The sequence below is a fragment of the Homo sapiens genome, chromosome 15, assembly GCF_000001405.40.
Source record: "Homo sapiens chromosome 15, GRCh38.p14 Primary Assembly".
Classification (NCBI taxonomy): Eukaryota; Metazoa; Chordata; class Mammalia; order Primates; family Hominidae; genus Homo; species Homo sapiens.
The window spans coordinates 88954364-88969227 of NC_000015.10; the positions used below are offsets into that span (position 1 = coordinate 88954364).

A 14864-nucleotide genomic window follows, 5' to 3' on the forward strand; every position below is an offset into this window, starting at 1 on the left:
AGACCCTGCCCATTGGCTGTTTGCTCAGGGATGGACCTGCTGGACGCCTTGCTTAGCGTCTGAGAGCAAAGAGAGTAAATCCGGGCTGGGGCACTGGCTCCTCTGAGGAGAAACCCCACTGGAGCTGTGAGCTTCGGGCAGCTCCTGGCTCCTGGCACTCCCCTCCAGCCCAGCCAGCAGGCCTGGACCCAGGAGTAAGCACTCACAAGCACGCAGCACCGGAAGCTGCTTGCAGCCTCCCAGGGGACCTTTCAGGCTGAGCTGCTTTTGAAGAGAGGAGAGCCTGAGGAAGAAGAGGTCATGGGGCTTTTTGTAGGGAAAAACATAACTACACATTTAACTACCAATGATGCTTCCCCATTAGCTCAGGCTGGCCAGCTCTCCCTGGCCCCCAGCCCTTGCGCCAATCCCCACTAGGCTGGTTGGCCCAGAGCACGGGCAGGGAGAGTTCCTTCCCAGTGTGGCAATGAGATCCAGACTTGGGATCTCACATTCTCAGGGAGGCCAGTCCTGAGGCCTTGGCAGGGACCACTGCAGCTGCCCATCTCCAGCAAGGCCATCAAAAGGCGGTGAGGCGTGGGAGCCGGCCCTCGGAGGGGCCACCACAGGACCTGCCAGGCTGCCATCAGGTCTTGGCAGGAAGAGAAAATGTTTTTGCTCTTATAGAGGGTGCAGAGAAAGGCAGCATGGCCGGGCAGGCCAACTCCTGCCAGTCTTCAGGGGGTGTGGAACAAAGCCCTTTTTTCTCCAGGTCCTCGGACCCTCTGCCAGGCCGGACCATTGGTTAGTTCCTTCCCAGTTCCCTTGGCACCAGGAGATGTGGCAGTCAGAGCTGCCCAGGGCTCATTGAGGAGAGGCCCTGAATGGGCACATCCAGGGGGCCCAGGCCAGCTGACGCTCCCTCGCAGTCAGAGCCTCCCCGCTTAGGAGAGGCACGGGCTGTGCATTCAAAGAGACCTGCATTCACCAGCTAGGCTTCATAAGCCGAACCTCAGAGTCCTCTCATTTAAAATAACGAGGATGGGGTATATTGTTAATAAAAAAGGCAAGGTGCAGAATGCATGTATAGCGTGCCACCAATCGAGGCAGGAGATGGAGAGACATAACATTTACACACATTTACTTGTGTATGCATAAAACAAAAAATGTCTCAGAAAAGATAAACAAAAAATGGGCTTTCGGGTTCCCTCCAGGAAGAAAAATTGGGTGGTGAGGAAGGAAAAGGGGAAGGAGGAAGACTTTTTAATAATTATTTTATTTATATATTTATTTTTATTTTTTTGGAGACAGAGTCTTACTCTGTTGCCCACTCTGTTGCCCAGGCTGGAGTGCAGTGGCACAATCTGGGCTCACTGCAACCACCACCTCCTAGGTTCAAGTGATTCTCATGCCTCAGCCTCTCAAGTAGCTGGGATTGCAGGCACCCACCACCACACCCAGCTAATTTTTGTATTTTTAGTAGAGATGAGGTTTCACCATTTTGTCCAGGCTGGTCTCAAACTCCTGGCCTCAAGTGATCTACCTGCCTCAGCCTCCCAAAGTGCTAAGATTACAGGCATGAGCCACCACACCAGGCCAGAGGAAGACTTTTTCAGAGTGTACCTTTTAGAGCTTTGAAATTTTGAATTTTTTTTTTTTTTTTTTTTTTTTTGTAAAAACAGGGTCTCACTATGTTGCCTAGGCTAGTCTTAAACTCCTGGCCTCAAACAATCCTCCCACATCAGCCTCCCTACTTGTTGGGATTACAGGTGGGAGTGTGAATTGTTTAAATTATATATATTTAAAATGAGATTTCAATGAAGAAAAACAAAGGTAACAGTGAGGACCTGCCTCAATTGCTTTGAGAATAAAATGAGCTAACATAGATGACAGCAGGGCACCCTGCATGCAGGCCCTCAGGAAGTGGTGTAGAGCCTTAGGGGTTACAGGTCCATATGGTTTGGATTTCTGTCCCCACCCAAATCTCATGTGGAATTGTAATTGCCAACGTTGGAGGTGGGGTCTGGTGAGAGGTGACTGATCATGGGAGCGGATTTCACCCTTGCTGGTCTCATGATAGTGAGTTCTCACGAGATTTAATGGTTTAAACATGTGTGGCACTTCCCCCTTCACTCTGTCTCTCTCCTGCCGCCATGAGAAGAAGGTGCTTTGCTTCCCCTTCGCCTTCTGTCATGACTGTAAGTTTCCTGAGTCCTCCCCAGCCATGTTTCCTATACAGCCTACGGACCCGTGAGCCAATTAAACCTCTTTTCTTTATAAATTACCCAGTTTCAGGTCTTTCTTTATAGCAGTGGGAGAACAGACTAATACACAGGCAGCGCATGCACTGGCTCATGCTGCTGAGCGAGGAAGGGTGCAGAGCAGGCACAGTGCATCCTGCAGTGCAGATGGGAACCTGAGGTCTAGAAGGAACCTGCCCAAGGTCACACAGATGGAAGTGATAAAGGATGCATCTTGAACATGAGTCCCATTCCCAGGGCTGAGAACATTTGTAGAAACTAGAAAAACTATTAGGATCTTTGGAGACCTGAGTGCCAGGTGAAAATCAGACTCTCCCAGGATAATGAGACTTTCAAGTCCAGCCTTCAGAAGAGCAAAGGATGCGGGTCTTGACTGATCAGGGCAGGGACTTTGGACTGGGGCCTGAGACAATGAGGCTGGATGTCAGAACCTAGCCTCCTGCTGGAGCAGATCAACCCCAAGAGGCCCATCTGCCAAGGGAACACATGTTCCTGGTCTGTGGTTTCTCCTCCCAGCCCCAAGCTTGGCATCTGCTGGAGATGAATCCCTTTTCAAAATGCACCCAGCCTCTTACCTCCCCAGCAGACTTCTCCTTCACTAACATTGCATGCCACCCTGTGCTAGGTATTCAGCCAGGCCATGGGAACACCAAGAGGTCTAAGGAATCCCTCAGAGCTTCTAGTTTAATCAGAAGATATGTCAGGCAGTTTTGGATAATAATCCCGAAAGACAAAACCCTGAATGTTGAAATCCTAAAAGATCAAAATCCATAAATTCTAAAATCCTGAAAATCACTATCACAGATCATGTTAGGTGGAACTATTACCTTGTTACTGTCTTTATTTGGAAATGAAGCACAGCTCAAGGAGATGCATATGGGTTCCGAGTTCACAAAGGGTGGATGTGTGAACCTAATTTAGTTCTGTGAAAATAGAAAATCACTTAATTGCAATGGCCAGGCAATAACCAGACTTTCAAATAAACAGCATATACTTAAAAAATTTGTAGGCCAGAACCACTTTCCAAATGCAATTGCAGCAAATGTTTTGAAGATGATAGAAGTGAAACTGCTGGCAAAAAAAAAAAAAATGCAAGAAATCTCCTCTACCGAATTATTGAATCATGTAGGACTTCTGCCCCTTCACACATCATGCCATGCTTGCTTTCAAAAAATGTGCTTCATCAGGGAGTAAAAAGAATCCAACAAGCTCAGCGACCTCTGAACCAAAGATGCTCGCTGATACTGAGGCTTCTCCAGCAAAACACATTAAATGGTGAGCTAGTTTTTGTTGTTGTTGTTGTTTGTTTGTTTGTTTTTGAGACAGGGTCTCACTCTTCACCTGTGCTGGAGTGCACTGGTATGATCATGGCTCACTGCAGCCTCAAATTCCCAGGCTCCAATGATCCTCCCACCTCATCCTCCTGAGTAGCCGGGACCACAGGTATGTGCCATCACACCTGGCTAATTTTTGTATTTTTTGTAGAGAAAGAATTTTTGCCATGTTGCCCAGGCTGGTCTCAAACCCCTGGGCTCAAACAATCCTCCTGCCTTGGCATCCCAAAGTGCTGGGATTACAGGCATGAGCCACTGCACTCAGCCAAACTATTCTTGATTAGGGGTTTGACTGTTGAAGAAGATAGAATTTTTATGTTTATCACTAACTCTAACATTAAAAAAAACTTGCACATACTTCACTTTGGCGAATAAATAGGACTTTCTTTTTTATTTTTATTTTTATTTTTTTATTTGAGGCAGAGTTTCGCCCTTGTTGCCCAGGCTGGAGTGCAGTGGCGCGATCTTGGCTCACCACAACCTCTGCCTCCCAGGTTCAAGCAATTCTCCTGCCTCAGCATCCCGAGTAGCAAGTAGCTGGGATTACAGGCATGCTCCACCATGCCTGGCTAATTTTGTATTTTTAGTAGAGACGGGGTTTCTCCATGTTGGTCAGGCTGGTTTTGAACTCTCGACCTCAGGTGATCCGCCTGCCTCAGCCTCCCAAAGTACTGGGATTACAGACGTGAGCCACTGTGCCCAGTCATAAATGGGACTTTCAAAACTGTCACTCATTTTTTTTTTAAATCAACTATATACAATTCATGCCCCTGTTGGGTCTGAAAACCCTAGAACTTATCCACTTGTTTATGTATTAATGACTGAAAAAAGTGATGCAATTTATAAAAGTTTATTTGAAGATTTGGTGAACTATGCAGAAGAAAATGGATTTCAATTGAATCCCCAAACCATAATGACAGATTTGGAATTAGGTGTGATCAAGGTTACTAAAAGTGAATTTCAAGGTGTTTCCAATAAAGTTTGTTTTTTTTCCATTCAGTCCAGTGCATTTGGTGGAAAACTCAGATGAGTGGACTGGCCAAGCAATATGGCAACAACAATAACTTCAGTTTAAGAAGGCATAATTTGTCTACATTGATGTTCCTTCCAGCTGATGACATTCCAAGAGTGTTTGATGAATTAAAGGCATATTTACCTGAAGAAGCTAACAAAGTTACTGAATCGTTGTAAAATAATTATGTGCCTGGTAGAATAATAAGACACCTATGCAACAATGTTGCTATTCAATCACTAGTATTGTTTCCACCAAATTTGGGGCCCCTTTACTGGGGCATGCAGAATGGATTTCTGCATACCCAAAACAACATACAAGGCCAGGCGCGGTGGCTTATGCCTATAATCCCAGCTCTTTGGGAGGCCGAGACGGGCAGATCACCTGAGCTCAAAAGTTTGAGACCAGCCTGGCCAACATGGCAAAATCTGTCCACACACACACACACACACACACACACACACACACCACAAAAATTATCCAGGCACGGTGGCATGTGCCTGTAGCCCCAGCTACTTGGGAGGCTGATGAAGGAGAATTGCTTGAGCCCAGGAAGTGGAGGTTGCAGTGAACCAAAATTGCACCATTGCACTCCAGCCTGGGTGACAGAGCAAGACTCTGTCTAAAAAAGAAACAAACAACAACAAACATAGAAGCATGGCACAAAAGACAGAAGATGGGAAATTTTAATAGGGAATGCTCATGTCAGCATATATCAAACCAGAAGAATTTCAAAAAGAGCAGTGCTACGTGGAAAATGAAGGTGGGGACAGAACCTGAATCCTGTCCCCTTTCTTTCCTCCCGAGACAACATGAGCTTCATCTCTCATTCCACCACCTTCTCCACCAACTACTGGTCGCTGAGCTCTGTCACCCAGGCACAGTGTCTGGCTCACGAGCAGCGTGGCCAGTGTCTATGCAGGTGCTGGGGGCTTATTCTCCTGGATCTTCATGTCCTGCTCCACCAGCTTCCAAGGAGGCTGGGAGTCCGGGGACCTGGCTGCAGGGATGGCCAAGGGTCTGGCGGGAATGGGGGGCATCCAGAGCAAAAAGGAAACATGCAAGGCCTGAATGACTGCCTGGTCTCCCACCTGGACAGAGCGAGGAGCCTGCAGACCAAGAATCAGAGGCTCAAGAGCAAAATCTGGAAACACCTGGCATAGAAGGGACCCCAGGTCAGAGACTAGGGGCATTACTTCAAGACCATCAAGAACCTAAGGGCTCAGATAATTCTGTGGACAATGCCTGCATCATTTTTCAGGCTGAAAATGCCCGTCTTGCTGCTGATGACTTTAGAGTCAAGTATGAGACACAGCTGGCCATGCGCCAGTCTGTGGAGAGTGACATCCATGAGATCTGCGAGGTCGTTGATGTCACTTGGCTGCAGCCAGAGACAGAGATCAAGGCTCTCAAGGAGGAGCTGCTCTTCATGGAGAAGAACCATGAAGAGGAAGTAAAAGACCTACAAGCCCAGATTGCCAGCTGTGGGTTAATCGTGGAGGTAGATGCCCCCAGATCTCGGTACATCAGCAAGATCAGGGCAGACATCCAGTCCCAGTATGACGAGCTGGCTCAGAAGAACCGAGAGGAGCTGGACAAGTACTGGTCCCAGCAGACTGAGGAGGGCACCACAGTGGTCACCACGCAGTCCGCTTAGATGTAAATGTCATCTTAGCAGTCCATGGAGCTGCTAAGATGATGCTCACGGAGCTGAGACATACACTTCAGTCCTTAGAGATTGACCTGGACTCAATATCTGAAGGCCAGCTTGGAGAACAGCCTGAGGGTGGTGGAGGTTCACTACACCATGCAGAGGGAGCAGCTCAATGGGGTCCTGCTGCACTTGGAGTCAGAGTCGGCACAGACCCAGACAGAGGGGCAGCACCAGACCCAAGAGTACGAGGCCCTGATGAACATCAAGGTCAAGCTGGAAGCTGAGTTCACCACCTACCACTGCCTGCTGGAAGACAGGGAGGACTTCATTCTCGGTGATGCCCTGTACAGCAGCAACTCCATACAAACCATCCAAAAGAGCACCATCGGCAGGCTGGTGGATGGCAAAGTGGGGTCTGAGACCAATGACACCAAAGTTCTGAGGCGTTGAGCCAGCAGAAGCAGGTAACTTTTGGGAAGCAGGAGGCCAATAAAAAGTTCAGAGGTCATTGGTCTGAAAAAAAAAAAAAAAAAAAGAAAGAAAGAAAGAAAATGAAGGTGAACATATTCTCCAAGGAGAGCCATGTCCTAAAAGAAAAAAAGCAGCTCTTCATTGTGATATAAGACTTCAAAATATGGTTAATGATTGTGAAAGTCAACCAATGCAATTGCCCGTAATCTGTCCCTACAACACACTTTCATATGTTGAATTTTCTTCTTTGTTTTGTTCATTTTTTCACTTTTTTCTTTTAAATTTTTTTACTTTTAAAGTTTTTAAAATTGGAACATAATAATTGTACATATTTATAGGGTACATAGTGATGCTGTGATACATACACTGTATAGTAATCAGATCAGGGTAATTAGCGTATCTATCATCTCAAACATTTATCATTTCTTTGTATTGAGAACATTCAGAGTTCTCCTTCCAGCTATTTGAAACTATATAATATATATTGTTGTTGGCTATAGTCATTCTACAGTGATATAGAGTACTAGAATTTATTCCTCCTATCTGGCTGTGATTTTGTATCATTTAACAAATCTCTCCCTATGGCTCCTTTCCCCTTACCCTTTCTAGCCTCTGTTTTACTTTTCTTTCTAGGAGACCAACTTTTTTTTTTAGCTTCCACATATGAGTGAGAATATGCAGTATCTAACTCTGTTTCTAGCTTACTTCATTTAACATGATGCCCTCCAGTTCCATCCAAATTGCCAACAAATGACAGGATTTCATTCTTTTTTATGGATGAGTTATATTCCACTATGTACATATACCACATTTTCTTTATCAACTAATCTGTTGTTGGACACCTAAGTTGATTCTATATCTGGGCTATTGTGAATAATACTGCAATAAGTGTGAGGGTGCAGGTGTCCCTTCTATATACCAATTTCCTTTCCTTTGGATAAATGTCCAGTAGTGAAATCACTGGATCATGATAGTTCCTTTTTTTTTTTTGAGACAGAGTCTTGCTCTGTCACCCAGTCTGGGGTGCAGTGACACAATCTCGGCTCACTGAAACCTCCACCTTCTGGGCTCAAGTGATCCTCCTGCCTCAATGTCCCAAGTAGCTGGGATTACAGACGCCTGCCACCACACCTAGCTACTTTTGGTATTTTGGGTAGAGACAGGGCTTCGTCATGTTGCCCAGCTGGTCTTGAACTCCTGCGCTCAGGGGATCCATCTATCTCAGCCTCCCTAAGTGCTGGAATTATAGTCATGAGCCACCATGCCAAGCCTTGTATAATAGGTCTATTTATAGTTTTTTGAGATACCTCCATGTTATTCTCCATAGTGGTTGTACTTGTTTACATTCCCACCCACAGTGTATAAGAATTCCCTTTTCTCAGTATTCTCACCAGCATTTGTTATCTTCGTCTTTTTGATCATAGTCTTCCTAACTGGGGTGAGATGATACCTTATCATGGTTTTGATTTGCATACACCTGATGATTAGTGGTGTTAAGCATTTTTTCATATATATATATATATATATATATAGTTTTGTTTTGTTTTGTTTTGTTTGTTTTTGAGACGGAGTTTTGCTCTTGTTGCCCAGGCTGGAGTGCAGTGGTGCGATCTCAGCTCACTGCAACCTCCGCCTCCCATGTTCAAGTGATTCTCCTGCTTCAGCCTCCCGAGTAGTTGGGATTTCAGGCATGTGCCACCATGCCCAGCTAATTTTGTATTTTTAGTAGAGATGGGGTTCCTCTGTTGGTCAGGCTGGTCTCGAACTCCCAACCTCAGGTGATTCACCCACCTTAGCCTCCCAAAGTGCTGGGATTACAGGCATGAGCCACCGCAGCTGGCTTTTTTTCATATATTTGTTGACCATTTGTATGTCTTCTTTTGAGAAAAGTCTGTTCAGATCATTTGCCCGTTTTTAGTTAGATTGTTTTTTTTGCTATTGAGATGTTTGAGTTCCTTGTATATACTGAATATTAATCCCCTGTCAGATGAAAGGTTTGCAAATATTTACTCCCATTCTTCTGCAGGATATCCTTTGCTGTGCAGATGCTTTTCCATTTGATATAAACCCATTTGTTTATTTTTACTTTTGTTGCCTGTGCTTTTGAAGTCTTCTTGTTCATAAAATCTTTTCCTTAAACAATATCCTAAAGCATTTCCCTTATATTTCCCTCTAGTTGTGTTAAAGTTTTGGGTCTTACCTTTAGGTCTTTGATCTATTTTGAGTTTATTTGTGTACGGGGCAAGAGAAGGGGATCTGGTTTTATTCTTCATATGGATATCCAGTTTTCCTAGCACCATTTATTCTCTTCTGTATACCAATTTCCTTTCCTTTGGATAAATGTCCAGTAGTGAAATCACTGGATCATATGACAGTTCCTTTTTTTTTTTTTTTTTTTTTTTTGAGACAGAGTCTTGCTCTGTCACCCAGTCTGGAGTGCAGTGACAAAATCTCAGCTCACTGAAGAGCTGTCCTTTCTCTGATGTATGTTCTCTGACTTTGTCAAAAATCAGTTGGCTATAGATATGTGGATTAATTACTGGGTTCTCTATTCTGTTCCATTGGTCTGTGTTTCTGTTTTTATGCCAGTACCATGCTGTTTCGGTTACTACAGCTTTGTGGTATATTTTGAAGTCTGGTAGTATGATACCTCCACCTTTGTTCTTTTGTCTATTTGAGGTCTGATATAGTTTGGCTCTGTGTGCCCACCCAAATCTCATGTCAAATTGTAATCCCCATGGGTCAGGGAAGGGACCTAGGGAAGTTGATTAGATCATGGGGGTGGATTTCCCCCTTGCTGTTCTCGTGATAGTGAGTTCTAATGAGATCTGATGGTTTAAAAGTGTGTGGCATTTCCGCCCTCACACTCTCAATCTCTCTCTCCTGACACCACGGGAAGAAGGCGCTTGCTTCTGCTTTGCCTTCTGCCATGCTTGTAAGTTTTCTGAGGCCTCCCAATCATGCTTCCTGTTTAGCCTGTGGAACTGTGAGTCAATTAAACCTCTTTTATTCATAAATTACTTAGACTCAGGTAGTTCTTTATAGCAATGTGAGAACAGACTAATAACAGGGTCTTTGTGGTTTCATGTAAATTTTAGGATTTCTTTTTCTATTTCTGTGAAGGATGTCATTGGTATTTTCATAGGGACTGCATTGAACCTCTAGATTGCTTTGGTTAGTATGGTCATTTTAACAATATTAATTCTTTCAATCCATAAACGTGGCATATTTTGTTTGTATCCTCTTCAGTTTCTTTCATTAGTGTTTTCTAGTTTTCCTGGTAGAGTTCTTTCACCTTATTGGTTAAATCCCTAGGTATTTTGCATGTATGTGTAGCTACTGTTAATGGGACTGCTTTCTTTATTTTTTTTCAGGCAATTCATTATTTGTTTATAGAAACGCTACTGAGTTTTGTATGTCGATCTTGTATTCTGCAACTTTCCTCCATCCATAATCAGTTCTAAGAGGAGTTTCTTATGGAGTCTTTTGGGTTTTTTTGTTTTTGTTTTGTTTTGTTTTTTTGTTTTTTTTTTGACGGAGTCTTGCTCTGTCGCCAGGCTGGAGTACAACGGTGTGATCTCAGCTCACTGCAAGCTTCGCCTCCCGGGTTCCAGCAATTCCCCTGCCTCAGCCTCCTGAGTAGCTGGGACAACAGGCACCCACCACCACACCCGGCTAATTTTTTTACTTTAGTAGAGATGGGGTTTCACCATGTTGGCCAGAATGGTCTTGATCTCCTGACCTTGTGATCTGCCCGCCTCGGCCTCCCAAAGTGCTGGGATTACAGGCGTGAGCCACTGTGCCCAGCCTAGGGTTTTTTAATATATGAGATCGTGTCATCTGCAAAGAGGGAAAATTTTATTTCCTCCTTTCCAAATTGGGTGCCCTTTGTTTTTTTCTCTGGCCTAAATGCTCTGGCTAGGACTTCCAGCACTGTGTATAATAAGAGTGGTGAGAGTGAGCATCTTTGTCTTGTACCAGTTCATAGAGGATAAGCTTTGAGTTCTTCTCTATTCACTGTGATGTTAGCTGTGAGTTTATCATATTTGGCCTTTATTAGGTTGAGTGACATTCTTTCAGTGCCTAATTTGTTGAGTTGTTATCATGAAGGGATGTTGAATTTTATCAAATACTGTTTTTTGCATCTATTGAAATGATCATATGGTTTTTGTCCTTTATTCTGCTGATGTAATGTATCACATTTATTGATTTGTATGTTAAACCATCCTTGCATTCCTGGGATAAACCCCCACTTGATCGTGTCATATTATCTTTTATCTTTTTTTTTTTTTTTTTTGAGACAGAGTTTCACTCTCATTGCCCAGGCTGGAGTGCAGTGGTGTGATCTCAGCTCACTGCAGCCTCTGCCTCCCAGGTTCAAGTGATTCTCCTGTCTCAGCCTCCCAAGTAGCTGGGATTACAGGCATGCACCACCACGCCCAGGTAATTTTGTATTCTTAGTAGAGATGGGGTTTCTCCATGTTGGTCAAGCTGGTCTCAAACTCCTGATCTCAGGTGATCCACCCACCTCAGCCTCCCAAAGTGCTGTGATTACAGGTGTAATCCACCATGCCCGGCTGTATTATCTTTTTGATATGTTGTTGAATTCAGTTTGCTAGTATTTTATTGAGGAATTTTTGCATCAATGTTTATCAGGGACTTTGGCCTGTAGTTTTCCTTTTTTGTTGTGACATTATCTAAATTTGGTATCAGGGTTATGCTGGCCTTGTTAAATGAGTTATGAAAAATTCCCTCCACTTGAATTTTTTGGAGTCATTTGAGAATAATTGTTATTAATTCTTCTTTAAAGGTTCAGTAGAATTCAGAAGTGAAATCATCCAGTCCTGGATTTTTCTTTGTTGGGAGACTTTTTATTACTGACTCAATCTTATTACTTGTTATTGGTCTGTTCAGGTTTTCTATTTCTCCTTGGTTTAATCTTGGTAGGTTGTATGTGTCCAGGAAATTATCCCTTTCCTCTATGTTTTTTAATTTATTGGCATATATTTGTTCATATTAGTCCCTAATGATCCTTATTTCTGTGGTATCCATTATGACATCTCCTTTTTCATTTCTGTTTTTATTCATGTATCCTCTCATTTTTTCTTCATCTAGCGAATAGTTTGTCCATTTTTTATCTTTCCAGAAAACCAACTTTTTGTTTTGTTGGTCTTTTGTATTATATCTTTTTTTTTTTTTTTTTTTTGAGGTGGAGTCTCGCTCTTTTGCCCAGGCTGGAGTGCAGTGGTACAATCTCAGCTCAATGCAACCTCCGCCCCCTAGGTTCAAGCAATTCTTCTGCCTCAGTCACCCAAGTAGCTGGAATTACAGGCACCTGCCACCATGCCCAGCTAATTTTTGTATTTTTAGTAGAGATGAGCTTTTACCATGTTTGGCCAGGCTGGTCTCAAACACCTGACCTCAGGTGATCCACCTGCCTCGGCCTCCCAAAGTGCCGGGATTACAGGAGTGAGACACCGTGCCCAGCTGTATTATTTCTTTAGTCTCAATTTTCTTTATTTCTGCTCTGATCTTTATTATTTCTTTCCTTCTAGTTTTGAGTCTGGCTTGTTCGTGCTTTTCTAGTTCCTTGAGTTGCATTATTAGGTGGTTTCTTTGAAATCTTTCTAGCTTTTTGATGTAGACCTTTATTGCTATCAACTTGCCTCTTAATAGTTTTTCTGCTGAGTCCCATAGGTTTTGTTTTGTTTTTTGTTTGTTTGTTTGTTTTTTGTTTTTTGTTTTTGTTTTAGACGGAGTCTCTCTCTGTCGCCCTGGCTGGAGTGCACTGGTGTGATCTGGGCTCACTGCAACCTCCACCTCCCGGGTTCAACTGATTCTCCCGCCTCAGCCTCCTGAGTAGCTGGGATTATAGGCGGGTGCCATCACGCCCAGCTACTTTTTGTATTTTTAGTAGAGACAGGGTTTCACTGTATTGGCCAGACTGGTCTCAAACTCCTGACCTCAAGTGATCCACCCACCTTTCCCTCCCAAACTGCTGGGATTACAGGCATGCACCACCATGCCCAGCTTGGTATGTTGTGTTTTTATTTGTTGCAATAAATTTTAAAATTTTGTTCATTTCAAGTTCCTTTTTTTGTTTTTTATTTGAGATGGAGTCTCACTCTGTCTCCCAGGCTGGAGTTCAGTGGCGCGATCTTGGCTCACTGCAAGCTCTGCCTCCCAAGTTCACGCCATTCTCCTGCTTCAGCCTCCCAAGTAGCTGGGACTACAGGTACCTGCCACCACACCCAGCTAATTTTTTTGTATTTTTCGTAGAGATGGGGTTTCACCGTGTTAGCCAGGATGGTTTCAATCTCCTGACCTCGTGACCCACCTGCCTCGGCCTCCCAAAGTGCTGGGATTACAGATGTGAGCCACTGCGCCCAGCCTTAAGTTCCTTCTTTTTAAACTTTTATTTTAGTTCAAGGGGAACATGTGCAGGTTTGTTACACAGGTAAATTGTGTGTCACTGGGGTTTGGTGTCCAAATGAGTTCATCACTCAGGTAATTTTCGACCCTCACCCTCCTCCTACCCTCCCATTTCAAGTAGGCCTTGGTGTCTATTGTTCTCATCTTTGTGTCCATGTATACTCCATGTTCCGTTCCCACTTATAAGTAAGAAGATGTGGTATTTGATTTTCTGTTCCTGTGTTAATTCATTTAGGGTAATGGTCTCCAGCTGTATCCATGTTGCTGCAAAGGACATAATATTGTTTTTGTTTTTAATGGCTGCATAGTATTCCATAGTATAGATGTACCACATTTTCTTTATTCAGTCCACCATTGATGGACATCTAGGTTGATTCTATGTCTTTGCCATTATGAATGATGCTGCAGTGAACTTATGGGTGCATGTGTCTTTTTGGTAAAATGATTTATATTCCTTTGAGTATATACTCAGAAATGGGATTGCTGGGTCGAAATGGTAGTTTTTTATTTTTTTTTTTTGTTTCTGGTTTTGAGACAGGGTCTCTTTCTGTCACCCAAGCTGGAGTGCAGTGTTGTGATCTCAGCTCACTGCAGCCTCCGCCTCCCAGGTTCAAGCAATTCTCCCACCTTAGTGTCCTGAGTACCTGGTACTACAGGCATGCAACACCATGCCTGGCTAATTTTTGTATTTTCTGTAGAGACGTTGTTTCACCATGTTGCTCAGGCAGGTCTTGAACTCCTGACCTCAAATGATCCACCTGCTCTGGCCTCCCAAAGCGTTGGGATTACAGGTGTGAGCCACTGCACCTTGCCCGAAATGGTAGTTTTGTGAGTGTGTGTGTGTGTGTGTGTGTGTGTGTGTGTGTGTGTGTGTGTGTGTATTTGTTTGTTTTTTGAGATGGAGCTTTGCTCTTCCTGCCTAGGCTGGAGTGCAATAGCACCATCTCGGCTCACTGCAACCACCGCCTCCTGGGTTCAAGCAACTCTCCTGCCTCAGCTTCCCAAGTAGCTGGGATTACAGGCATGTGCCACCACACCCAAGTAATTTTATATTTTTAGTAGAGATGGGGTTTCTCCATGTTGGTCAGGTTGATCTTGAACTCCCAAACTCAGGTGATCCACCTGCCTCGGCCTCCCAAAGTGCTGGGATTACAGGCCTGAGCCACTGTGCCCAGCCCCGAAATGATAGTTATTTAAGTTCTTTGAGAAATTTCCAGACTGTTTCCCACAGTGGCTGGACTAAATTCTATTTCCACCAGCAGCGTATAAGCATTCCCTTTTCTCTGCAACCTCACCAATTAAATTTCATTCTTAACGTCTTCCTTTACCCACTGATCATTCAGGAGCATGTCATTTAATTTCCATATATTTGTATAATTTTGAGTGATTTTCTTTTTATTGATTTCAAGTTTTATTCCCTGTATTCAGATAAGACACTGGTACAATTTCAATTTTTAAAACATTTTTGAGACTTGTTTTGTGTCCTAACATGTGGTCAATCCTGGAGACTGTTATATGTGCTGACAAAAAACGCGTGGCTGGATGTAGTGGCTCATGCCTGTAATTCCAGCACTTTGGGAGGCCAGTGTGGGTGGATCACTTGAGATCAGGAGTTCAAGACCAGCCTGGCCTATATGGTGAAACCTGTCTCTACTAAAAATACAAAAATTGGCCAAGTGTGGTGGTGGGTGCCTGTAGTCCCAGCTACTGGGGAGGCTGAC

At 43.9% G+C, this 14864-nt stretch overlaps 1 pseudogene, besides 1 other annotated feature; it reads left to right on the forward strand.

Moving 5' to 3' along the window:
• Nucleotides 5357–6752, forward strand: KRT18P47 (keratin 18 pseudogene 47; annotated as a pseudogene).
• Nucleotides 10782–10982: a silencer, noted in NCBI's record as "peak2417 fragment used in MPRA reporter construct". NCBI's record gives its function as "represses an SCP1 promoter by STARR-seq MPRAs in K562 erythroleukemia cells {active_cell/tissue: K562}" and the evidence as "EXISTENCE:reporter gene assay evidence [ECO:0000049][PMID:32103011]".